At 37.8% G+C, this 25,900-nt stretch overlaps 1 protein-coding gene across 2 annotated transcripts in view, besides 7 other annotated features; it reads right to left on the minus strand.

Moving 5' to 3' along the window:
* The window catches only part of MLLT3 (MLLT3 super elongation complex subunit), a 280,831-nt gene extending 260,786 nt beyond the window's left edge, over positions 1–20,045 (minus strand). The window contains exons 1-2 of one of the 2 annotated variants that reach the window (NM_004529.4): positions 19,791–20,045; positions 18,200–18,380 (exon numbers count right to left, since the gene is read on the minus strand). In NM_004529.4, coding sequence (NP_004520.2) covers positions 18,200–18,380; positions 19,791–19,802 — 193 coding nt within the window. In that variant the 5' untranslated portion in view covers positions 19,803–20,045. Of the gene's footprint in view, positions 1–18,199; positions 18,381–19,318; positions 19,485–19,790 lie in introns of those variants that run through there. The other variant, NM_001286691.2, reaches the window with a different exon arrangement.
* Positions 2,342–2,391: a silencer, noted in NCBI's record as "silent region_19796". NCBI's record gives its function as "represses an Ori minimal core promoter by ATAC-STARR-seq in GM12878 lymphoblastoid cells {active_cell/tissue: GM12878}" and the evidence as "EXISTENCE:reporter gene assay evidence [ECO:0000049][PMID:35858748]".
* Positions 17,994–18,113: a silencer, noted in NCBI's record as "silent region_19797". NCBI's record gives its function as "represses an Ori minimal core promoter by ATAC-STARR-seq in GM12878 lymphoblastoid cells {active_cell/tissue: GM12878}" and the evidence as "EXISTENCE:reporter gene assay evidence [ECO:0000049][PMID:35858748]".
* Positions 18,274–18,403: an enhancer, noted in NCBI's record as "active region_28229". NCBI's record gives its function as "activates an Ori minimal core promoter by ATAC-STARR-seq in GM12878 lymphoblastoid cells {active_cell/tissue: GM12878}" and the evidence as "EXISTENCE:reporter gene assay evidence [ECO:0000049][PMID:35858748]".
* Positions 19,334–19,383: a silencer, noted in NCBI's record as "silent region_19798". NCBI's record gives its function as "represses an Ori minimal core promoter by ATAC-STARR-seq in GM12878 lymphoblastoid cells {active_cell/tissue: GM12878}" and the evidence as "EXISTENCE:reporter gene assay evidence [ECO:0000049][PMID:35858748]".
* Positions 19,454–19,603: a silencer, noted in NCBI's record as "silent region_19799". NCBI's record gives its function as "represses an Ori minimal core promoter by ATAC-STARR-seq in GM12878 lymphoblastoid cells {active_cell/tissue: GM12878}" and the evidence as "EXISTENCE:reporter gene assay evidence [ECO:0000049][PMID:35858748]".
* Positions 20,024–20,483: a silencer, noted in NCBI's record as "silent region_19800". NCBI's record gives its function as "represses an Ori minimal core promoter by ATAC-STARR-seq in GM12878 lymphoblastoid cells {active_cell/tissue: GM12878}" and the evidence as "EXISTENCE:reporter gene assay evidence [ECO:0000049][PMID:35858748]".
* Positions 20,504–20,643: a silencer, noted in NCBI's record as "silent region_19801". NCBI's record gives its function as "represses an Ori minimal core promoter by ATAC-STARR-seq in GM12878 lymphoblastoid cells {active_cell/tissue: GM12878}" and the evidence as "EXISTENCE:reporter gene assay evidence [ECO:0000049][PMID:35858748]".

Below are 25,900 nucleotides of genomic sequence, written 5' to 3' on the forward strand. Positions count from 1 at the left end.
TATAAATTAACAGAACTTTACTCTCACATGGCTTATAAAAAAATCTACATTTGTATATGGGATATGTGGGATGGGCACATAGACACACAAACACCTAACCCATATAGTACACGCATGTGCTCAGGAGTGACAGTCAAACTATTTCCTGTTATCCCACTGCAAAAGCAATACATTTATTACAAGGAAGTAAATGTTAAGTCCTCATAGAGACACTTAGAATTTGGCATCTTGGAGGAGTGGCAAATGTAACATGATTATCAAATCTCCTACTGCCAGGCTCTTGTAACAATGTTTTATTAAGTTTGATACACACACACACACACACACACACACACACACACACAGCATATGCACACATATATTTATTTATCTCCACCTAAAAAGAGAAAGACATGTCACTTTTTAATTCCTCCTGCCAATGGCATCATGCCAAATCAATTTTTCCTTAACCCAGTATTTTTGGCAGCTTTATCATAATATGCCATAATTCCACAAATTCAGTAGTTGGCTAACATGTGGCTCTGAATTAAAAGTAGATATGATATAGTCTCCCTCTATATATGAAAGATCATTTTTAGATATATACATAAAATAAAGACTACCTTTGCACCTAAAATCTGCCTCTAATTTCTCCTTCTCACTTTCTCTTTACCATTAGCAAGAATCAAGCACTTTTGAAACATTAATCCAGATCTGATTTTGGCAGTCTTCTATAATCTTATCCAAGAAACCACTTGGACATATTTATCCAAAGACATATAGCCACATTGTTTTTCAAAATCTATATAATAAGCCAACTCTTATAAGTATATAGGTTAGCCTTCTATTTATAACCAGAAAACTTAGAGCCACCTGTTTCAGCTCTGATCTCAAGAACACCACTTTTACCTCTTAGGTCAAATCTGGCACCCGCAACTTAGTACTAAATTTCCTCAAAATAATGTGATTATGTAATCTCTCAAATTTCATTATGTTTTTTCCTCTGAATTTTGTTAACTAAGGCCAAATGCATTAACATACAACAAAATTCTCAATGTGAGTGATAAAAATGCATTAAAAGTAACCCTTAATCTATGCTATTAACTGATTTTATTCTATTTTGGCACGTTTGAAGTAACTCATCTAAGGATTAGTTAGGCTTTTCTACACTTCTTTTTATCAGGACTCTACCATTCTTGATTTAGTTTTGAGAGAAAAGGGTTTGCAAAAACTATAATAATCTCACAGCTGGAGATGGCTGGAAAGTCCGTTAGTACTCATTGTGCCCTTAATTTGCAGGAAGCCTTTGTGCTCTTCTACTCCTCGTTTTACATGCTGAGCAGTTTTCACTGATAAAGTACTTATAGACCAGTTATTTTAGATTAATGAAAAGCCCACTAAAATTTTATGTACAGTGGCTGTGAACTTTCTCTTTAAAATACTGAAATTTATCTTGAGAGTCTTGATTACATGAAAATCTTAACCCTGGTAATTTGCCTCAATAGTTTTCATGTGAATAGGCAAAGGCAGTCTTAAAATTGTTTAAGAAGTATTATTTTCAAACACAGAAGGTATCCAAAATTTCAGGCTATGAATTCAGATTGAATGGCTGAAGCCTCAGGGCAAACACACTGATTTAATCACGTAGCAGTGGGTTTCAAAATCTTGCCCTCTTAAGACTTAACAATAAAGTATTTCCCTGCCCTTTAAATCTATAGCAATAACGCAAACACATTATACAGAAGGACCCAACATTGTTGAAATTTTGTTGGGATTTTTAACATTATGACATCAATTCCAGGAGTACATGGTATTATTCTAACTCTACACTTATCCAAGATGAGATTTTAAAGTCAATGAGTTAGTATTTCCTCTGAACTTCAAGCCTAAAAATGACATTTAAATATCCAATTATCAAGGATTATAAGTCAAACTCAATTTTCACAGTTTTCTAAAAGTCTTCAGATACAAAAAACAAAGTCTAACTTTAAACAGTCTAAGCTGAAGTTTTTAAATCTGTCCCAATATAAGCAAAAATGTTGAGATTTGTTATATTCCAAGACATGAAAATATAATCATGTTAAAATTACTCATTTTCTGCTATACTACCTTCCTGTAAATCAGAAATTCAAATCATAGTCATATAGATTCATATAAAACACAGCTAGCATATCTGCAAAGTAGAAATGATAGTGTTTGAAACTAATAGGGTTAAACAATTTATTTTGTGAGGCCACTGGCAAAACCTACAGCAGCTGTCTAACTTTGCCTTTAACGATCATAGCAAAAGCTCAAGGAAGTGATCCAATGCAGCACTGGTCTTTAGTAACCAGATCGTTTCTATTTCATTTTCAGCCAACGGAATGGATAACGAAAACAAAATTATGCCTCAGTCAGTACGTTTACTTGACAAGCTAATTTTTAACAATGTTAAACTTTTATTCACATATATGGCCAGAAGTAAGTTGTATCTTTTTTCTGTGTAGATAATCTTAATAACTTTTAAATACTGGCTACACAAGATAAAACTTCAGATGGCTATCACTTCTTTAAACTCACTTATAAAAACTACTGGAAAACTTTTTAGCTATTCAAGAACATATTAAGCTAAAAAATAAAAGGCAAATGGTTAGTCATTGCTGTAAACTGTTGAGCCATAGATGTTTGATTCTTTCAGTGAAGAAAACTGCAGGATTTATACCATTTTATAGAAGACCTAAAACAACTGTATAATGATTTTTATAAAAGAAACAAACTCAATTCCTCAAGGATTACAATTTCCTACCAAAAACTACTTACACTGTTCAAAATAAACCAAAAATAGCTCTCTCATTACATATCATCATCTGGTTACTATCAATGTATCTGAGATACCTATTCCTACATTCTTTTCTACTTACCCTGTGGAAAACAGGTATTTCAGACATCTAGCTAATTGGGACTTATAAATATTTATTTATTTATAAATCAAGTGTCTGAAGAATGTGAATAACGGAAACAAAGTAATTTAAATAAGTGACCCAACAAAGTTATGCTTATTAGTCTAGTTAATAACCACGGGTTCATACTAGAAAGAAGCTCCAAAATAATTTCAAACTAAGTTATGTGGGAATAGATATGACACAACATTCCCCATTTCAATATTTATGATGCATATGTAACTATATTGTCTTACTCAAGTAATTCGCCTAAAGAACAATTTTAATCCAGTATTTAACATAATTCCAATCATGTTTACTTCCACAAAGGTTTGGGCCAGAACAATTTTAGTCAGATTTTAAGCTAGTATAACATTTATACTATATGCCATAGGTAAGAGATACTAATTGATTATAAATATATCAAACATACTTTCTGATTATGAGTCCTATATCATCATTTTATACCATCTTAAGTAGAAGAAATCTCACTTCAACTATTAAGCATTTGAAGACAATTACTAAGTGTTGGTTTTGTAAAGGAGTACAAATTACTTAACATTTAATAATTAAAGTATGTGCACGAATGGATATTCCTAAACTGACACACTTATGAATGGCTTACTGGTTTTAAAAAGTAACTCCCAAATGCTGGGTTAATATGTTTCACTTTAGGGACTTAAACCATACTTCTTCAAATAAAATTAAATAAATTAGTTTGCAAGTAATTAATGACGAGAATTCAATAACGTAAAACTATCCCTGCGTATTCTCTATGGCTGGGAAATTTAGCTGGTTATGTTCATATAATACACTTAGTGGGTCTTGGAGCCCACTGCCTGTAAAATCTCCCATGGAGATTCAAGACCACCCATTGAAAATAGAACATTATTGCCTCCAGCAAGAAGCTGGTACATAGGACTGGTTATTCAAGTCTTTTAAATACTATTTTATTGAGGGATTGCAGGAGGTGGGGGAGGGGTGAAGGCGGATTCATGAGTGGATGGGGGAGGAAAACTCAGAAAAAAACAGTAATTTCTAAAGCAGAGGTTCCTGCCGTACCCCCTTCACCCACCCGTACTTTTAAAACAGCTACATAAACAAAGTAATAAGTGCTCAATTTCAGAGAGAATTACATTATACTCCATTTGAACAGGCTACAAAGTACTTTTATTTGAAAAGCTGCTTGTGCTCTGTTATAAACAATTTTACTCTGCACCAATTTCAGACAAGAGAAGATGGCTAGGGAGTGTGGGAGGTGGAGTTAGGAAAAATTCACTCAGTGTCTTTCAATGCCTTAAACAGTTGATCCAATAAAGATCCTTTAGAGAAAACTTTAAGTCTATTTTTTTTCTCCAAGTAAGCAAATCATACAGGAGGGCTTTTCTTTTCTAGGGTACTGCACCCTGTCTCTTTAAATTCCAGGCCTGCCCCATTTCCCACGCATTCAATGAAAGCCCCACGTTTGCTGGCCTCCAGCCCACAATGTCAAGTAGTTCTCTTGCTATTGAATTTCAAGATTATTCTTTTGGATCATTTGCCCTTTAGTTTTAAGCACACCAAAGCAAAAATAATGTCTTTCTACAATAACATAAAGAAAACTCAGAGGTCTTTACAAGTCTACAAGTAGAGAACACCTTGTCCTCTGGTTCCTCTTTCACTGCAAAATATGCTCCCACTCCATATGCTCCAAATAAGGGCCATTTGTACACTATCGTCATCTACCATAGTTTTGTCTGTCCTATAACAAAATTTTATGAGTATTTTTATTTAATTTGGTGCCAATTTGGAATCTCTTTGCAATACTCAAACCAGGTCTTCATATTGCTCAAACTCTCCACTCTTCAACTTGGTGTCTGGGGTATTTGGTTATAACAAGTTTTAAAACAATTACTTAATTTTAAAACTATTATTTTATTTTTGCAGTTAAGACATCTATATAAATTAACTTACTAATAAAAGCAGCAAATAAACATTGCCATCTGTACTCATTGTGCCAAAGAGTATATTTTCCTCATTCTTGTATACACCTTAATCCTGAAGAAGGGATTCCAGGCCATTATCAATCACATTTAGAATTCTCTCAAAAGGAATAGACATAGTTAAGCAGAAATTTGTCAGCAGAACTAAATTAAGTTCATGGAATATAATCTTATTCCAAATGCTGGCAAATAGAATTTGAAGTTGCAATTTTATTCAAGCAGCTAATAAGAAATACCCAGATCATAAACATCATTGTTTATATTTCACAAACATTCTAAGGTAGAGTTAATCTATTTGTATTTTATGGATTTTGTAAAATCATCTACTACTAAAGGGAAAATGCCCTTATTTTTATTTGACATATAGCTTTGCTATGCATTAGTGCACAGTACACTTTTAAAGTTTAATGTCAAAATGCAAATGTGTTTTCTCACGGACTATAAAATCATGGACTTAATTAGATAAATTTTAGATTGCAGAGAGACCCTTGAGACAACTAAAATTAACCTCCTCATTTTGCGGAAATCATTTTTAGTTATGCTTAAGGAATATTCATATCAATCTGCATTGTATATAAAACATAAAATTATGTACTAATTTCCCTTTGTAAAAACCTCTAGTTATTTTTGTAGCTTATATATGAAATATTAATAAAATCATCTTAGTATCAAAATAGTTTGAATTTATGGAATTATGCATGAATTCTCCATCCAAAAAGGACCACTTCTTTCTCTGCCCTAAATCTTTTTTTCTCTATGCCTTATGTTTGGTACTTGTTTTGGTACTTTTTATTTCTTAAAAGTTCATGTTTAACTTCCAAATTATATACAAAGATGCACACATTGGAATTGAGTCTTTTATTTCCAATTATCAATACTATTTATTCTTCAACATAATCACCATATATCTAAGCAACATGATGACAGTCTTTTTATTTGTAGTTGATTTTTAAAGTCAGATGTAGGCTCTAGAAAAATTTTTAACACTACACAGCAAGATAGACATGTTAATTATCAAAGTTATCAAAACTCCACAGGAAAAAAGGGCCAGAACTTTTCAAAACATTCCTAAGTACTCCAAAAATGTATACTGTACTGATATATTACACATGGGTATCTTTCTGTTACCAAGACTATCCTATATGAATACACATTTATAAATCAGGTTAATCTCATTACTTTTATAACTTCAATACAAAATGTTAAGAAAGGTAAGAACGTTATCTACATGTCTCCCTTTAAAGCTTACGATCAACTTATGAAACATTGTGCAAATACTCATAGTAACATTAAAGGAAAAGACTCAAAACGACAAGGTGGCAAAAATGTCAAATAGCAAAATTTGAAAATGTTTCTTGGGAAAGACAGTCTTAATCATGTTCCAAATTACTTGTAGAAAAAACTAAAAATCTTATTGTAAATGTGCCCATACATACATTTAAATACTAGTTTTACTTTCACATAATATGAGTCATTCAAGAAAACTTGAAAAAGCCAACGAATTTTACTGACAACAATAAGAAGTTCCTGATATCCCACGTCCCAGAGATCACTTATATTAACATTCTACGATAGTATTTCTTCCCATCTTTTCAGTGATGTATTTTTATCTATCACATACTTCTCAAAATGTGGGGTAAAGATGAACAAATCTAGCCATTCTAACACAGAAAATGAACTGAATCAATGATGTTAACCTAAAAAAGATACTCTGTCAAGAAGCATTAACTATAAGCTATTGTTTAGCCTTTACAATGTAAGAAAATTCCTATTTATTTGCAGCTCTATTTTAAATGTCTGCATTTGTGTATTTTTGGATAAATTATCGGCTCTAGTCAATTGCTTGACAATTTCCTTTACAGAATTGGAATGCTAACTAAAATTATTTTTTCTTTGACCTAAAAGTTATACAGCATGTTACAACTGAAGAGTAGAAAAGTACTTGCTTTTCAAAACAACTTCAATTCAGCATTTGAATTATTAAATAGAAAACCCTATTTATTCTTATATGTATGTATGCAAGTATGTTGGATGATCAAAAATTTCATATACTTTCTTCTAATCTGTTCACATGATAATACAGACAGCCCTCAATTAGCTTACATGGGCAGTCCTCAATTATTACTCTATTGATAATAAAAACACAAGTAATATCTGGTAAGTGATACTTCAGAAAAGCAAATTAAGTGACACAATTTCAAGGTCTATTTTATGTAAAAGACAAAAAAGCATGAAAAACCCAACGATCTAATGGCATGGTCAAGAGCCATAATTGAGGAAGAAGTTTCCTATCAACACTGGGTGGTCTTCTGAGTTCTTGAAATGCTCCAATCTACAAGTAATAGTTGATGGTTGAGGTGAATGGCACCGATATGATCAGAAATTAACTTTTACAAGTGTAACTTAATCCCTTATTTGGTGAATTACTCATGTTATCTTCTACTTCCCTATTACTGCAGCAAGTCTTTCACCCATTTCACTGTCCATTCACCATAAGAAAGGATAAAATTCCAATACACTGATGTTCATATATTGGTATTTTATTTTCTCAAGAATATCATTCTCCGAACTACTACTTAGGAAGAGTCAGAAATTAAATACTCCACATGTCTATTGTCTAGCATGATAACCAATATAGCTATTTAATAAAGGGTAGTTATTATTTCATTGTTATAAAAACACTAGATCAATGACAATTGCAGAATTTATCCTTTTTAAAACTAAAGGAAAAACAGTATTTTCAGAGCTGCAAAAGCCCACACAGCTTATTCAGTCCAAACACATCCTTTCTACCTCCCAGGCCAGGGCCTTTCCTGCCACACTGCTAAATACTGCTCCTACCAGTTACTGGAATTACATTAGACTCTTATTTTTAAAGCTAAAAGGCTGGTTGTATTTCATGGATTAGGTAGTAAAAAAATGATAGAGCTGGCCAAGTCCTTCAAGTTTGTGTCTAGCTTTTCTTTTTAAGCATCCAAAGTAAGTGAAGAAAGAATAAGGGAAAAAAGAGAAAAGAGAAAAATTCATTTTTGCCTATTACAAATGCTAGAACACATTCTAGAAAATGTGATTCTCAGCAGACACAATGTTTCCTGCTAAATTCAAGTGGTGGTTCTGTTTACACAAAGTCAATTATTAGAGGTGCAGAAGAAATGAGTTTCAGAAATCTGAGTAATAATTTATAACTTACAGGAGTGGAAAGTAAAGCCAGGGATTCTAAAACCCTTTTTCTGACTTGCAATACCTGCCTTTATACGGTTGCCAAAAAATTCCAGGGTCAAGACATTACATTGATGGAGCTATAAGTAGTATCTACAGTGATAACATAGGTCCCATCCTTTCTGATGTGTAACTCTAATGCAACACAGGAGGAAAAAGAGATAACATATACAAAGAGAAGGGAGTGTTGGTCTAATGAAAGCATGTAACACATAACACGTGCTGCTTTGGTGCTCCATAAAATGAGGGAAGTTAGCTTCCAGCCCACTAGTTACTATTTCTGTGCATACAGAGAAAAAGTCATACAACAAGCATCAGACAATCTTGAACTGGGTCAACATTTTCAAATAACGTGTTCCACTCAATGCAACTAAATCTCAACAGCCCAAATCCCCCATGTTTCATTGACTCTATAAAACAGCTGCTTATTATAGAGAAACAGAGAAATAAGTAAAATGAAGGAAAATACTATGTGAAATAGAAGAATGTTTCTTCAATATAAAAAAGGTCGTAATTATTTAGCTTTCATTATTCATATTAATGAAGTATTTGTGGTAAAGGGTAAAGATGATATAAAGTCTACAATGAACCTGGTTTTTAAACACCCAAAGTGTTTTACATGTTTATCAAATGAATAGATACCTGGAATAATCAGACAGTATTCTATCCCCAGTACCATCCTTGGAGGGAGGCAGGGGAAATGGGACATAAAAACCTATCTGCAAAAATGAAAAGGCATCATTCAGACAAAATTTATATCTGAAAACATTAAGAGGCAAATTACCTCCCTACTCTCCAAGCCACTGCTATTATTATTAATACTTCAGGAAACTGTTAATATATATTTTGCTTTTAAAAATCAATATACACACACAGAGCATTTTGCCTGGTATTGATGAGGAAATAACTAATAATTTCTACTGGAAAGGAACAAAGAAAAAAAATCTAGTTTTGACAAAATCAAATATTTTAAAATAGAAAAAAATTAACTTGGCTTTGAGAATATCAACCTTCTAATATGTGTAACTAATTAAAGGTAACTAATTATATTTATAATCACTAATGAACACTATTTTAAAGATAAGCCATAATTTTCTTTAATAAAAAAAATGGTGACTTGATTTTATCCAAAAAGTTAATTGTTAACTGCTACATACCAACTAAATCACACCCAAATGCTGGCCTTATCTTTTTAGAAATTCTATCGTAATAGCCTTCTTCAGTCGTCAACCACTGCAAACTTACCACACTTAAGTCAAAAGGATTAAGTCATGCAACATTACTTCTTAAAACAACACCCTGCATCCTTCATGTAATTGCAATTCTTACCACTGGGTGAATTGGGGACAAAATATCAGGAGATAACTACCACCCAGCAACAATTTTTTCTAATGATTTAATCTCAAAGGAAAACTTTAATTCATATAGAGAATTTGATTTTGTCTGAAAGTAGCTATAGAACTTTTTCCTTTTAAACAGCATCTACCATGGTTACCACCACTTAATTAAATCCTAGATCATGTCTACAAAAGCAGCTATTGCTGAACATTTGTCTGCTAATATAAGTGAATTATTACTCAATGTTTTAAAAGTAAACATTGACCACCATTTATTACTAGTTATCTTTGCACAGGCATACTTGTGACTCATTGTGTCTACATGCAAGATTGCTCCACATTTCTAGGCTTCTGATTAAAAGTAAAATGAAAGGGTAATCGAAGATGAAGAATCTCAAGTGTCCTTTCCAGCTCTAAAAAGACACAGCACACTGAAGGCAGGGACCTCCTCTTACTCTTATTTGTATCTCCCTCAGTCTTTCACTGTATCCTACATATATATTGCCTTTTGGTTAAGCACATTACTATGGCCACGAACTAAATTCTTAAATAAGACCCTAAGCCCAGAGAGGAAAACAAAACAAAATAAAGCACATCAGTTTGACAAAATTAAAAGCTTGCATATGGCAAAAAGATACCATAAATCAAGATAAAAGAAAAAAATGAGGCAAGATATTTTCAACAAAAATAACAAAGGAAGAACATCCTACAAACAAGAAAATGACAAGCAACCCAATCTTTTCTTTTAAGAAAAAGGATATAAAAAGAAGTCAATAAAGAGGAAATCAAAATAGTCAATATATATATATAAAATGCTTAATCCCACCAGGAACCAGAGAAATGTAAATGAAAACAAAAAGATACCAAATTTCAACTCTGAAAAATAGGAAATATTAAAATAGCCAAAATTGGCAAAGATATAGAGGAAAAATGGTACTCATTTTCTTGACAGAGTATAAACTGTCAGAACCACTTTTTAGAGCAATCTGACAGCAGCTAGTACAAATGAAGACACACGTGCCCACAACTCAATAACTCAAAATCTAGGCCTATGTCCAAACCCTTGTTCATCTGCACAAGGTAACATGCACAAAGATGCTCACTGCACAGAACAGAAAATGACCTATTTATTTCTTAATAGGAAAACAGAAAAGTAAAGTATACAATATATTCCCATGATGAAATACTAAGCAGAAGAAATTAAAGAGAATGACGTGGCTCTTTATAGATGAAATGTGGACAGGTTCAGAAACAGAATTGAGTGGGGGAAAAAAGCAAGATGCAAATGTATTCACTCATAAAAATATTCTGGTATTAAATAATGGCAATGGTTACACAACCTTATGAATATACTAAAAACCACAGACTTGCACACTTTAAAAGGGTAAATTTTGCATGTGAATTATATCTCAATTGTAAAAAAAAGATTCACTAGCATGATCCTCTTCACGTTGATTTTAAGACACAATACATTATTATTTGTAAGCAACATATATGTGCAAAATAAATAGAATGGAAGACAGACTGAAGGGTTGGAAGAAAAGGCTGGGAAGCATTTTAAAACATTAGCTGCATCTATAATAGTTAATTCTCCAGAATCCAAACAAGGAATCAAATAAGATAATATGTAAACATTTATTCATTCTTGGTAGTGGGGATTTGAATGTTTGTTATATCATTCTCTGCATTTCCCCATGCTTTTTTTTTTTTAATTAAAAAAGCAGCCATGGACTACAAAGGACAAAAAAGGCACATCACAAAAGACAAACGGTAAATAAATACATAATGAAAGATATGTGGCACTGCTAATCATATAAATGCAAACCAAAATGAGGCAGTTTTTCCACACAGATTGGCAAAGATTTTTTTAAGCTGTTAATTTCCAGTTTATATGCCTGAGGAAATATAAACTGGGACAATCTTTTTGGAGGAAAGTTTGGTAATATATAACAAAATTTTAACTCTGTATACCTTTTGACTCCACAACCTCCCTTCTAGAAATTTAACATAAACAAATTATTAGAAAAACCATTAAAATGAATGTCAAAGATGTCCACCACAGCACTATTCATAACAAATCAAAACTGGGAACAATCCAAAAGAAGTATAATAAATCCATATACAATGTCATACCAGAAAAATCCAACAATTTTAAAAGATGATATGCCACAAGGGTAGGAATGTTCCTCTGTGCTTTATCTCCAGCTCTAAGAAGGGTGCTAGGGCCGGGCGCGGTGCCTCATGCCTGTAATCTCAGCACTTTGGAAGGCCAAGGCGGGAGGATCACCTGAGGTCAGGAGTTTGAGACCAGCCTGGCCAACATGGTGAAACCCTGTCTCTACTAAAAATACAAAATTAGCCGGGCGTGGTGGCGCATGCCTATAATCCCAGCTACTCGGGAGGCTGAGGCAGGAGAATTAGTTGAACCCGGGAGGCAGAAGTTGCAGTGAGCCAAGATCATGCCACTGCACTCCAGCCTGGGTGACAAGAGGGAAACCCTGTCCCAAAATGAAAGAAGGAAGGAAGGAAAGGAGGGAGGGAGGGAGGGAGGGAGGTAGGCAGGCACGCACATAGTAGGAGCTAAAAAAAAGCACACACTTGTTGAATGAATGAATGTTAATAGTTAATATTGATGTGTATGTGTATATATATAAAGATGTCTAACAAATATTAACTATAGTTATATATGAAAATTTCAGATAACTCGTCCATGGTTTGACTTTTCTACAATGAACAAATATCTACAAATTAGAAAAAAAAAACATTTCATTTGTTTAAAAAAATGAACAAGGTTCTTCATAAAAGCTACACCACAAAATTGTGCCATGTAATTTCCCAGCTTCTATGACATCTCTTTTGAAGATTCAAAACAAGAAAAGTTCTATATCTTAGAACTGTAAAAGTGATGTTATGTAGTGGGGATTACCTGTAATAAATGACTAGAAAGGCAAGAAAGGGGCCAAGGTTGGTCCATGGAAGACCCATGAGAAAGAAACTTCAAAGAACCAAGAGAAGGAACAAAGGACCTTTAAGGCAAAATTATCAAACCAAGTGATATCCCTGCCTGGCCTACTTCATAAAGATAGGTAGTTCTACAGAGGGGCACCTACAATAATGAATATAAAAGACTTCTGCATAATTCAGGTAATGCATCACAGAATGGACAGTGATAGGCCGGGCACAATGGCTCATGCCTGTAATCTCAGCAATTTGGGAGATCGAGGCTGGTGGGTCACCTGGGCCCAGGAGTTGGAGACCAGTCTGGGCAACATAGTGAAACCCCATCTCTACCAAAAACACACACACACACAAACTGCCAGGCATGGTGGTCCACGCCTATAGTCTGAGCTGTTTGGGAAATGGCTTGAGACCAGGAGATGGGAGGATGGCTTGAGTCCAGGAGATGGAGGTTGCAATGAGCTGAAATCACGCAATTACAACCCAGCCTGGGTGACAGGGCCAGACCATGTGAAAAAAAAAAAAAAAAAAAAAAAAAAAAAAAAAAAAGAATGGATAGTAATAGTAGCTATAAAATATGCCCAGAAAAACCCAAGTTTAAATTATCCTTTTCTGAAAACAATTTTGTTAGGTAATCATTCACCGGAATTTAATGAGGCAAATACCTTGGAAGATTTACCTTTTCTCTTTCCATTAAATAAGTTTTTATTAGCAACAATAATAACAATCAGCTTCCATGTATTGGGCAATTTATGTGTGCCAGATTGTAGGCTGAATACTTTCTACCAGCAGTTCTCGGAGTGTAGAGTTAGGATCTCAGGATCCCTATGATCTTTTCAGGTGATTGGTGACGTTAAATCTATATATATAATAAAATCTATTAAGTTATGTGCCTTTTTCCTTCCCATTCTCTCGTGAGTGTGTAGCAGAGTTTTCCAGAGGCTACAGGACATGTGATAACACAATAGACTGAAAAGAGAAGCTGGTAAGAGGACCTAGTTGTCTTCTATTAAAACAAAGAGATTTGAAAAAAAAAAAAAAAAAGAAAAGAAAAGTAAACAATGCCCCTCTTGTCACTGTTTTTAAGAAAATGTTCATTTTTCATTAAAATGTTACCTGTATGTTAACATATAATAGGTTACTACCTTTAGACAAATTAATTTCTTTAAAATGTCTCCATTTTAATTTCTAATACACTAAAATTAATAGATATAACTTACACAAAAAAACTCTATGCGTTCTTCAATTTGTAAGTGTAAAAGGATCTTAAGCCCAATAAGTATGAAAACAGTTGATTTACATTTCAACCTCAACTTATGAGGTAATAGTTCTATTTTATCATCATTTCCATAATGCAAATGAGAAAAGAGACACAGAAGTAACTTGTCCAAAACCATACAAGGAGTCTCTTAAACCAACATTTGAATACAAGTCTGTAATTCCTAACCCTAAATTCTCTCCATCTTTAAGCAACAATATCTACCCAAGATATTAAAGATCACTTTTAGATCTTTAACTTTTAGATAGCTACATGCTAATCCCTATTTTTAAAACAATATTCTATATTGGTTTTTTATTCTTTTTCAGTTTTAAAAAGTTATGTGTGCTCATTGAATGTTTTAAATATACGGAGTTAACTTTAAAAAAAAATCAAACACTACAAAAATAACCTCCCATCACCACCACAAGTAGCTACTAAACTACTAGTAAGAGTTTGATGCCCGCTAATGCAAATTTACTTATTTACAGACATACACTTGTATAGACATACGTATACTTATCTGCACAAGCACTTTTTTGAAAAAATGAGATCACAATGATTTAGCAACTTGCCTTATTTCACTTAATTATTCTTGAAGATCTTCCTGCATCTACAAATAGATATACCTCTTTTTATAGATTATCATCATTTAATTGTATCCAGTTGAGGGCCCCTATATGGCTTTCTTCCAAATTTTGACTATTACAAAAACAGTCACAAGAAACATGCTGTATCTTTGTGTACTTGTGAGAACATATTTGTCAGAAAATTCCTAGAAGTAAATTTGCTAGGCTAAACAGTATAAACATTAAAAATCTTAATAGACCTTGCCAATGTTCTCCAAAATACCCCTGCCCGATTTACATTCTCACCCACAGAATATGAGATTTCCACCAACAATTCAGCTTTTAAGTGCCTTGGAAAATTATACTTTATGTGCTTCAAAATGCACAGCAGTAAAACTGTTCTCACTGGTCATCTAAATTTCATACAGAACCCTACACAAATAACACTCGCTGAATCTATCAGAACAGTCACTCATCTTCATTTTGTTCCTTATATCTTTTAAATGACTCTGAAGAGAAAATATACCAGATGCACACAACGTCTTCAGCTAGTAAGCCCTCAAGTATTAGTTACCTTGATAAAAACTTACCCAAATTATTTCAGAAGACCATTTAACACAAATCAAAACTATGCAGTAAAGCTGGCCTCATACACTTAAAGGAAAATTGTTAGAGTGGATTTATTAAGCTTTATCTGCCCACTCAAAGGACTAAGGCTACAAATAAAAAGCTATCAAATCCTACCAGTGGCCAAATTAGCTTCCATAAAATAATAAGCAACAGATTTCATATCATAAATGTCAGTGAAACAAATTGCAATAGTAAGGATGGCTGTAACTGGAAAAAAAGTTCACTCAAATTCACATCATACTAAAAACAAAAACATTAATATTTTAAAAGAAATGTTTTGAATGTGACTATTCATTTCAGTCATATCAGACTAGTACAAATCTTTGGTACTAATAAATAAGATATTGTCTTTTTTTGCAGGTAAATAGTTTAAAAATGCATCATACTCTGACCTACCTGTTTTGTCATGGCTAATAGACATTCCAGGCTTCACCATTTCATCAAAATCTCTTTTCTAAGATTTTGTGCCATTAGTTTTAAATTGAAGGTCTCCCACCCATCTTTGTGACAGAGTAAAACCTCATTAATTCAAATCCAATTAGCTCAATTCTGAAATGGTATACATAATTCTCATTAAGCAACAAGTTAAAAATACTATAATTTTTTCTCCTACAAATTCTAATATTACTGTGAAGTAAAGGAAATCAACCTGAAAATCAATTCACTTTTCCAAACCAAAGATTTACAAAACTAAGGACTCTTTCATCTTTGTGGCTGAGCAGTTCATCCTCAGTCCTAAGGCTCATCTCTGTTTAGCAGCTACTGTATACAGTGAAAGTGATTTAGATTGTCACTATAGCCAACACAGCTTATTTATTATAGAATATGAGCATTTCTTTTAAAGATCTTATAACTCAGATTTCTCACAAATTCATATTTTCAGTTTCTCCAATTTCCAATTGGTAGAATTTTACTCTATCACTTATAGATCTACAATATAGCTAACATAACACTTTAAAAGGTACTGGAAGTAGACATACAAATTCTTGGCATTCTTATTCTATATTTATTCTTATCATTTTGAAAGACTTTATAAGCCAAAAAATAAGTCCCAGGATTAAGTGGCATGTTTGGTGTTGCTTGAACTTACAACTATTCCCAATGAACAGAGAAACCTTCTCTTGCAATCTGAATCATGTGTAATTACAGTATGACAAGGTCTCTCCTGGGTGATGTAAGCTGGCACTTTTCCCAGGACTTGTCACATCATGGGAAGCACGCATACAAATAAAAATCCAAAAATAAACATTTTAAAACAATGGCTTATAGACTGCATAGAGAACCTCCACAGTTGAGTATAAAAATTGAGGAATCCAACCAACAAGCAGACATCTCTCACCAGAGACCTCTGAGAAGTCATCACTGCTATCAAGCAGCTTACCACGCCTAGCAACAACTCCCAGGTGTGGCCTATGTGAGCAGCACCCTCATGTTCCCTCAGGGCAGACAGAAAATCATTAAGTATAGGAAATAAAAATAACATCAATGCACACATCCACTGAAGCAGAAAAACAATGGTAAAATAGAGGTTGATCATCTTTAATTTCATAATGCCAATTTGTTGATTGTCAAGGTGCCTAAACAAAGTTACCTTAAGAGCTACATCTTCTGCCAACTGAGTTAATTTTCCTAATAAATGTTGCTTTTTAAAAGCTTATTTCACCTTGAAGTGAACTGCAGCCAAGTAGTAGTAATAATGTGTACCAAGGATCTTAGAAAGTGGTTTCTTTTGTTTAAACTCCTCTGCTCTACAGACACATGGAAAGGGAGAGAGAGAATCCGAGAAGCAGCATATCAACCTCATCAGCGATAGAAATTTGACATCGCTCATCCTTACCACAGTTTGGAGGAAATATGAAATATAATAATCTCTGACTATATTTTAACATAAAATGCTAACAAATTTCAAATGTTATTTCCTATAGGCCATGCATATTTCTAGCCCTCTATAAGAAACTGGATTTATTTATTAACCATCCAACAAAGACCATCAAATTCAACCGTTCAAGTTTTCAGGAGGAGTTATAAACCAAACCACTAAAGGCAAAAAATACAATCCTACTTCCCATTACATGAGCTCTGGAAACAAAACTAAGCACCAATACAAACCTCTGCCACCTCTAAGGCACACGACGCTTCTCCTTTCTTTATTCAGCCCCCTGAATGTTCAATAATTTCCACACAGCTCTAAGCAGAATGGATTTATTATGATATTACTCTAAGAAACGACAGGAGTTCTAGATGCCAATAAAGATTACGGATCAAATGGAAGATAACTACTAACCATTGTGTCGACTTAGATAAATAAACCTGCTCACAAACAAAGCACCTTATTGTATTTGTACTGTTACCTTCACTAATCCAACTAAAACAACCAGACATTAGTTTTCCAGAGGTTGAAGGGAAAAGAAATCGGTATTTCTCAAACCCTCTTTAAATTTCTTTCAAAATGACACTCCGTTTCTTTTTTCCAAAACTGTCCTGCCCATTATGGAAAATGTTTGGGACCACAGAGGCCCAGTAGGATTATGCAAACTAGACTCCAAGGCTAAGAACCAAGGTGGGGAGGGACTAAAGCAAAAGGCTTCCTCCACATCGTTCCTCTTCAACTTAGCTTCGACCTTTGCAAGAACAGTCTCCCTGCAGATCACATCCGGCAGACACTTTGGAACGTTGCTCAGAATCAAAGGAGCAGTCAAGTGGCACGCGGGGGTGGGAGGGAGGAACGAGTAAGCCCCCCAAGTAAACATAAAATCCAGACTGGAGTGGGTGTGGCGGTGGCTAAGCCACAAAAAGAAAAGTCTATGGCAACTGGCACCTGGTGCCTCATACACAGACAGGAAAGCACAGAAGACCCTAAAGAGAACCGACTTGCCAAGACCGAACAATAACTACATCCAATACATTCTTTGCTAATAACACAGGTAAATCTTAATTTCTCTAGGAAAACACACACACACACACACACACACACACACACACACACACACGCGCAAAGTGTTTATTCCCTCCAGCCCGATTCCCCACATCTCCAAACTCAACAACTAATTGCACCTTCCCCACAGAACCCGCGGCTAACCCCAGAGGACTGGTGAGGGCTGGCTTGGGATGAATAAACACTCGACACCTGACGGTCCTTTCTCTGCGGTGACTTTCACCAAGCCGAAGTGGCGCGCGCGCGGGCAGGCGGGAGCCGGGACCTGGCCCGCGCGGCGCCGCGCACCCGGATCCCGAGGCTACGCCGGCGAGCGCGGCGCGGGGGGCGGGGAGCGGGACAGCGGGACCGCCCGGGCCAAGCGATTGTTTCAAAGACATTTTTTATCAAGACCCTTTTGTATTCGAGCCCTACCTCTTTTTGGCCTAGGAAAGCTTTCGTGCAAGTGGAAGACGACTTTCTCCACAAAGTGCTGTATGTTACTGTGCTCCGGACCGCGTACGAACACCATCCAGTCGTGGGTGAAGCCCTCCACGGTGGGTTTTTTCCTCACCTGGGCGCGGTGCCCCAGCTCCAGCTTCACCTGCACGGCACACTGCGGGCAGGGGGAGGAGAGACAGCCGTGAATAACAGGAAGGCGAGGTTTCGGCAGTGAACGTTGCGCCTGACATTTTTTTCCTCCTTCTTGAAACGCACATAAAAGGAAACGGCGGTGCCCTCTGCATCCACGTTTCACGCGCGTGGGCGCGCACACTCCACACCCCCAAATATACCCGCCCGCCCGGCCCGGCTTGGCCCCAGGCGCCCCGGGCCCCGCATCTACATCGGACAGGATTGTAACGGAATGTTATCCCCAGTCGGGAAGGGGGTCGGGGAAAAGAGGGAGAACACACTCAGCCACGACAAGCACGACAACAAATGCATCGGAAACAAATCAGAAGGCGATGCCGGGGCGGTTTCCCGGCGTGGGAGGGGAGGTGGCTGGGACCCAGGGGGACCGAAGGGCTCCTGGCGAGCCCCCTCCCCGAAAGTACCGCGGCGACAGGCACACGCCGAGGAAGTCTTTGTGTACGTGTGTGTGCGTGCGTGTGGAGCGCTGTGCCAGGCGAAATGGAAACTACAGGCAGCCTCTGCTGATGGGCACAAACTCCCGTGCTCTTGCCACGGGGTTCGTGCACAACAAAAATGAGACGTCGTCATACACACTGAAACACACACACACGCCCGCAGGAAAACACGCCGAGGCATCCATAACTTAGAGCACCCCGCACCCCCCAGCGAAAAGCCCCACGCGATCGGCGAGGCCAGTCGAACCGAGCCCCCGCAACACACTTTCAAGAGCCCAAGTGGCTCCAAAGTATCTCCCACCTCCCCCCAAAAAATGAAATTCAGAAAGGCAGGGCGGCGGGCGGACAGCCGCCGAGCCTCGGCTCGCGCTCAGCACCTCCCGGCGCTGGGGCAAAGTTGCGTGCGGCCCCGCCGCTGTCAGCCCCGCACACTTCGGCTCACACACGCGCGCCGCGGAGAACGCACCATCGTAGCGGCCGCGGCGCTTTGCGGAGGTGCGGCCGCCGAGGCTGCTCGCCGCGTCCCCGGACTGTGCCCGCAGCTCCCGGCGGCGGCGGCTGAAATATGGCTGAGTTATTATTCGCCTCCTTCCACCGTGTGTGTGTGTGTGTGTGAGTGCGCGCGTGTGAGCGAGAGGGAGTGTGTGAGTGCGCTTCTTGTGACTGCAAAGAGGCGAGGAGGGAGGGAGGCGCGGGGGGTGGAGGGGCGAGTGTGAGCGTGTGTGAGTGTGTGTGTGTCTGTGTGTCTGTGTGCGCGCCGGGGGGGGGTGGGGGAGGAGGGGAGCGGAGGCTGAGGGAGAGGCGGCAGCTCCCTGCAAGCCGTACCAACCTTTCTCTAATTGGAACCGCGGAGCGCTGGCGCTGTCTGGGCTGCGGCGGCGCAGGGCGAGGAAGGAAAGTGGGGGAGGGCTTTTATTATTATTTTTGCGCGTACTTACCGAGCTAGCCATGCCTGGGGGCCCGGAGGTTTGCTGGGGTGTTGTGTGGTACCCCCCCCTCCTCCGCCCCCCCTCAGCTGTAATTCATGAAGAGGCTGCTATGAATGAGAGCGCGCCCAGGAGCGGAGGGTAGATGGCGGACATTCTCTGCCTTTTTCCCCCCGCGCTCGCTTGCTCGCTCGCTCGCTTATTAAACTCAGCCCCAAAAGCAAAAGCAGCAGCAGCAGCAGCAGCTCCAGGGTAAAGAAGATGATTGCGGAGCATGCGCCGTGGCGCCTGACACCCGGGCTCCGAGCCTCACAGGGCGGAGGGAGGGCTTGCGGGCGGGGCGGAGCGCGCGGGGAGGCAGAGCGAGCGAGCCAGGGGGAGCTCGAAAGAGCCAATCACCTGCCACCTCCCGAAACCCCGGCGGCCCGCAGCGCCACACTGGAAAGCCTCGCTTAAAGTAACAGGTTCCTGCTGGGGGGGTGGCAGGGAGGGGACGCAGGAGTGGGGAGAGCGGCCAGCTGGGGAGCCATCCCAGCCCCTGTGTAAACTCTGCTCGCCCTACAATAAAAAACGGATTAAAACTGCTGGAATGTAGCCACTGCTTAGAGCCCTCAGCAGCCGGAGAGGGGGTGTTAAATCAAGTCCTTAGCTAGTACGCACGGGGAGGAGGGAGTGGGCTTTCTTTTACTTTCCACCACGTATTTCTGTGGTTTTGTGCTGAAAAGACAAGAACTCACACCCAAACAAACTTACTTAAAGAGAGCGAGAGAAATGCCATCCTGCAAAAAACGAGCATGAAAATAGCAATGACTGAGGCTGTTCTAACCCGCAACGATCCCCTGGCCCCCTGCCCCATCCACTCACAGGCACCCGCCCGCCACCCTCACTCCCCGCCCTTCTGCCACCGCCACCGAAAATTTGAAAATGAAATGAACAAGGGAGAAACAAGGATGCTATTTCCTTGCAAGGGAACGCCTTCCGCTTTGGTAATCCCCGGCTGGGAAGCTTCATAAAGCGGTGCCCAGGTGAAAGCAAGACACCTGGGAGTGCCGGGTACAGACCCTCGGGGACCAGGCTTGGAGTTGTTTTCTTCGGGGGGCTTCCCCTCCTGACAGCCTACTGAGTTGCATCAGAACGTGGAGGATTGTCCTCTGAGGACGCGCGGGGCAACCGGGAGTCTTAAAATAGCAGATAAAGTTAATACTGACTGTAATGTGCGTAAATTGGATTATAATCTTTAGGCGTATTGGTGACAACCAGCGTAATCCATCTCTGAGTATTAATCCGGTTAGACTCCCGGGTGACAGCCAGTCGCAGGAGTGTTCCCAGAGTCGCGCCTCTGCAAATGTTCTCACTCGCGTTGTATTTGATCTCAGTGGCCGGAGATAGAACAGCGCGGCCACGCGTGGGGCGCGGAGAGGAGTATCAACTACTGGCTTCCTTTACAGACGCAGATAACCTTTAAAAAGGAAACGGATAAGATCTAGACGATTGATTTGAAAGTGAAAGATGGATGTGACTTTGGTTCGTTAAAAAAAGATCCTTGCATCTTCCTAGCCCTTAGACCTCTTTTGCCTTCTCTTTACTCCCCTTTTTCCCTCGCCTTCCAACTTCTTGCTGAACCTTGATTTTTCCTTCTCTTCTCCTTGCCTTTCCTCTTTGTCCCTCTTTCTTTCCTCTTTGTCCCTTTCTTTCCTCTTTGTCCCTTTCTTTCCTCTTTGTCCCTCTTCCTCTTTCTGACTGAACTTCCTTGCTTTCCTCTTTTCCCTTTACTTCCCTTTTCCACAAAAGCAAGTTGTCTCGGCCCTTGAATTGAGAAGAGCAGAATAGCGGGGAGGACGTTACCTAGGGCGTCCTGTGTCCTCGCTGTTAATTTTCAGTTCTCCCAGCAGCTCTCACAAAGATCCTGGGAATCAGGTCGGACCACTTGGAACCAACCTTAGTTTCCAAACCAGCAGCCTTCCAACTCAACTTTTGATTCCCTAAAACTGATATTCCGCTGCCTGTCAGTTATAATCAAGAAACTTCTTTGGCTTGAGGTCCCCAGTTCTTCCCAGCCTTCTACAGGATTTAGCATAGAATGGAGCAAACGACTGAAGGTAGAAACATTTTAATCTAAATCCAAGGGCTTAGATTTGTCAACTGACACACATATACATAACTGCATATCATCCTGTAGGTATATGCGTCGCTGTGTCTGTATGTATGTACAAGGACTACGTTTATATTCGCAGAGACAAGCTGTGTGGGTAGTATCTACGTGAAGGGGGGACCTATTTATTGTGCATTATTAAACTTTTCATAAAATAATCAAATTTGAGAGCAGTCCTTTGTAATAATAGTATTGGAAACTAAAGGTTATCTGGACGTGCCATTAGTAAAGCCATTTCTTATTAAGAAGTAACCATTAACAGCGAGTGTAGCTCAGGACACAGGCAAAAAACAACAATCCCATTCCCCGTTTGAGTTCATTTCAGGGTTTAACTTCTTCCGGCGCCAGCCACCGGACTCTCTTGAGATTGTCTCCAAAACTTGTACCCGCACAACAGATAGAGGTCTCTTTTTTGAATTATGTGTTTGCTGAATTCAGATTTATTCCAGCAATCACTAATAAGCCATAGAGTCTGAAAGGGTATTTTCCCAGTACCCCTCCTTCCTCAAAGAATGCTCTAACAACCCAACGTAGTTACTCCCAATCTCCAAATACTGGACATTTAGATTCCGTCAGTAGATGGCGCACGGAGCTCTTCCACGGACGTCCTTACGTGACCCCTTCACAACAAAAAGATCAGGAAGGGGGAGAAAAGAAAGAAAAGAAAACACAAGACTGAATACTCTCCCTTCAACTTTGGACAAAGAAATTTATGCAAGTCTGTCAATTTATTAATTACAACCTATTTTAATAAGCTTGCCATTAAAAACAATTAAAATCGATTAATTTCCTGTGCAGATCTTCACACTTTAACGTGAGGTAAAAATGTGGAAAATAACCTTTTGTGTACTTGACAATGTGGTTATAGAAAATGTACTGTAAAGAAATTTTAAGACAAACTTCAGTGCTAAATACAGAAATAGTAATATAATAACTAAAATGGAAGTGGTGAGGGATAAAATCATCTACTTATCCAAAGAATAATTATCTTACCAAAATTCATACTGTTGTATATAGCACAGTATGAAGCACCATGGGGTTAGTTTGAAGATCAGAAAAGTAATTAACATATCAAATAAAAATCGTGATGAAGAATAAAAGAGAACAGTGTCTGTGACAGATCACTACCACCACTACCATCACCATTGCCCTACCACCATCATTTTGGCTCCAGCCTTTTTATTTGCAATTGTTTTCTTTAGTCTGGAAGCTAAAGCCAGTTTCCATGTTTCTGGCAGAACAAAGAGAGGGCCTTTAACGTGTAATTAGAGTGTTAAGGAGCATCCTAAAATAAACTTATCTATTTGTTGTGATAGATAATTGATGCACAAATTCAAATCAATAAAAATTTACCATTTATTTCCCGTCATTGCTGTATAGACTTGGGGAGAAAAGAGGAAGAAGAAGCATGGAAAAAACTAGAAAATGTGCCAGACTCTAAATAGACATTTTGCAAAAATCAGACTCAAAGTAATTAAGGATTCTTCTTCCATAATTGTGCACCTTTTTCTGTGTACTGCATCCATGTGTTTATTCACAAAATCATTCCACGTCTCAGGCAGAGAGTTAGGCCCTAAGACTGTAAGAATGACAGGATTCCTGATATCAGAGTTTATAAACCAGGGGAGAAGTTTCGCCAAAAACTTTTTTTTTTTTAAATTTCATAACAGCTAAATTTGGGATAAGATGCGTGTCATATATAAGCGAGGAGCATAGAAACCTGACATGAACAGCCCAAGGACAGGAAAAACAGTGGCATGAGATTAGAAGCCAGGAGTCATTGTCCTTAATTCCACCTTTTAATACTTAAAAGGTGGGGAGAGGCAGATATCTTTCTTGCAACAGCAGCCAGTTCCTACTTTCCTTTTTCTTGATCTGAAGTATTTTGTATGTTCACTTTTTTACAGCTCTTTTAGGGAGAAAAAAAAAAATCCCACAATGAAAGAAAGCTAAGTCTTTTCAAGATCATGAGCAATTCTCAGTTGAAATCATCTCCCCATTTCTTATGGAAATTTTTGGTTCAAAATGTTACATGTTTAACATTATATTTAATTCATGATTCTAGGATAGTGTGGGAACACTAGAATGGTAAGACTCATTACTATTTTGAAAAAAAGATTGCTTTGATAGCCGTTTGAGCACCTAGTCCAGGACTATTTCCAGAGATAAGAAATACACAGAGCTTTTTTAACCACCAGTGCCTCTTCATGTGTAAATTATTCCCTGAGAGTAATTTAAGCAATGCACTTATACATGCAGAAGACAAGAGTGCCTCCACTGTAATAATTTATTAATTTAGTGGGCTGTATCCTTAATTTAATAAGTAGCACCTCAAGGCCTGAAAATTAATCAAGGATGTCGTGTAAAACCAGCAATATGAAACAAAATAAGTATTGGGGGACAGTTGATATAGAGTGATTGAAAGAGTCTCCCTAATATATACAGGATGCTTAGTGGAATAGTTCTAGGTAAAATACATATTGAGTTGAAAATGCTTGCTGTAAAACAATCTATCTAAAAAGTAGACCAAATGACTATATCTTTATGTATCTCTGGCATCTCTTCAAACGCTACTGTGCAATGTTCCTTCTTTCTTTATGTAATGATTTGATCTCTTTTATTTTTAATGGAAATTCTGTTTGTTTTTATATATGAGTTCACCTCTCCCACTCACATATAATGAATCAGGGCTTAAAATAATCACTTTATCTTAAAATAATAAAATATATTTTGTCTTTTTGGTAAAAATGGAAAAATAACATATCAGGCCTATGAACTAATTTGGACAGCTCAAACTTCAACAAAAACTGCCAAAAACTTAGGAAAAAGAAGTAACTCCTAGCCGGGCACAGTGGCTCACGCCTGTAATCCCAGCACTTTGGGAGGCCGAGGTGGGCAGATCATGAGGTCAAGAGATCGAGACCATCCTGGCCAACATGGTGAAACCTTGTCTCTACTAAAAATACAAAAATTAGCTGGATATGATGGCACACGCCTATAGCCCTAGCTACTCGGGAGGCTAAGGCAGAAGAATCACTTGAACCCGGGAGGCAGAGATTGCAGTGAGCCAAGATCGCACCACTGCACTCCAGCTTGGTGACAGAGCGAGACTCTGTCTCAAAAAAAAAAAAGAAATGACTCCTTTCCATCTACTAAATGGTGTGACAGTGGCTTGAAAATAATACTAAGCCTCTAAGAAGCCAGTGATTTACTACCTTCTGGTAGGATCAAGTATCCTGGTTGGGTTAAGCTATTTACTGTCAGCCTTGAATAATCCATGAGTATATTACCTACTTTGCAGATAATCCACAATGACACAATTTATGTTTGTGGGGTTTTTTAAATGTAAATGTATGTTATAGGCAGGGTTTTTAAAACTATACAAAATGTATATCACTGCATCTACTTGTTACTTTCCATTCATAGTTTTTCTCACAGAAAAGTTTATATATTATTTCATTCTTTCTGTTTTGGAGCTCTTTCTAAATTTTACTAAGAAAAACTTTCTAAATTTTATTAACCAATTTTTCATCCCAGATATAGGGTGCTTTGGCAAAAAATTCTTGATCTAGGAAGCAATACCAATCAATGGGAAAGAAGGAATGTTCATTTACAATTTGCTAAATCAAAATAACTCTTAAAGGCTATTCCTAATTATAGGTCTATTACATATGCTCTATGAATCCAAATAAGGGAAAGTTAGTGAAGAACTGTCTTCTGCACTGTATTGATAACAGTTTGGGAGAAATTTCATATAGTAACAAGGAGATGAAAATAACTTAAAAATAGCTAAATAACTTTATTTCTGTATGATCAAACCCTTAATATTTCTTATTTCAATCTTTTCTTATGTTTCATGACTTTAGCATTTTAGTTTGATGATTAGTTTAATGTGTTCAGTTAACTTTTATTGGCTTTCTATTGAAGGTCAGCTACTTTTCTTGGTCCTTTCAAATCAGGGTAAGTTTAG

The sequence above is a fragment of the Homo sapiens genome, chromosome 9 (assembly GCF_000001405.40).
Source record: "Homo sapiens chromosome 9, GRCh38.p14 Primary Assembly".
Taxonomy (NCBI): Eukaryota; Metazoa; Chordata; class Mammalia; order Primates; family Hominidae; genus Homo; species Homo sapiens.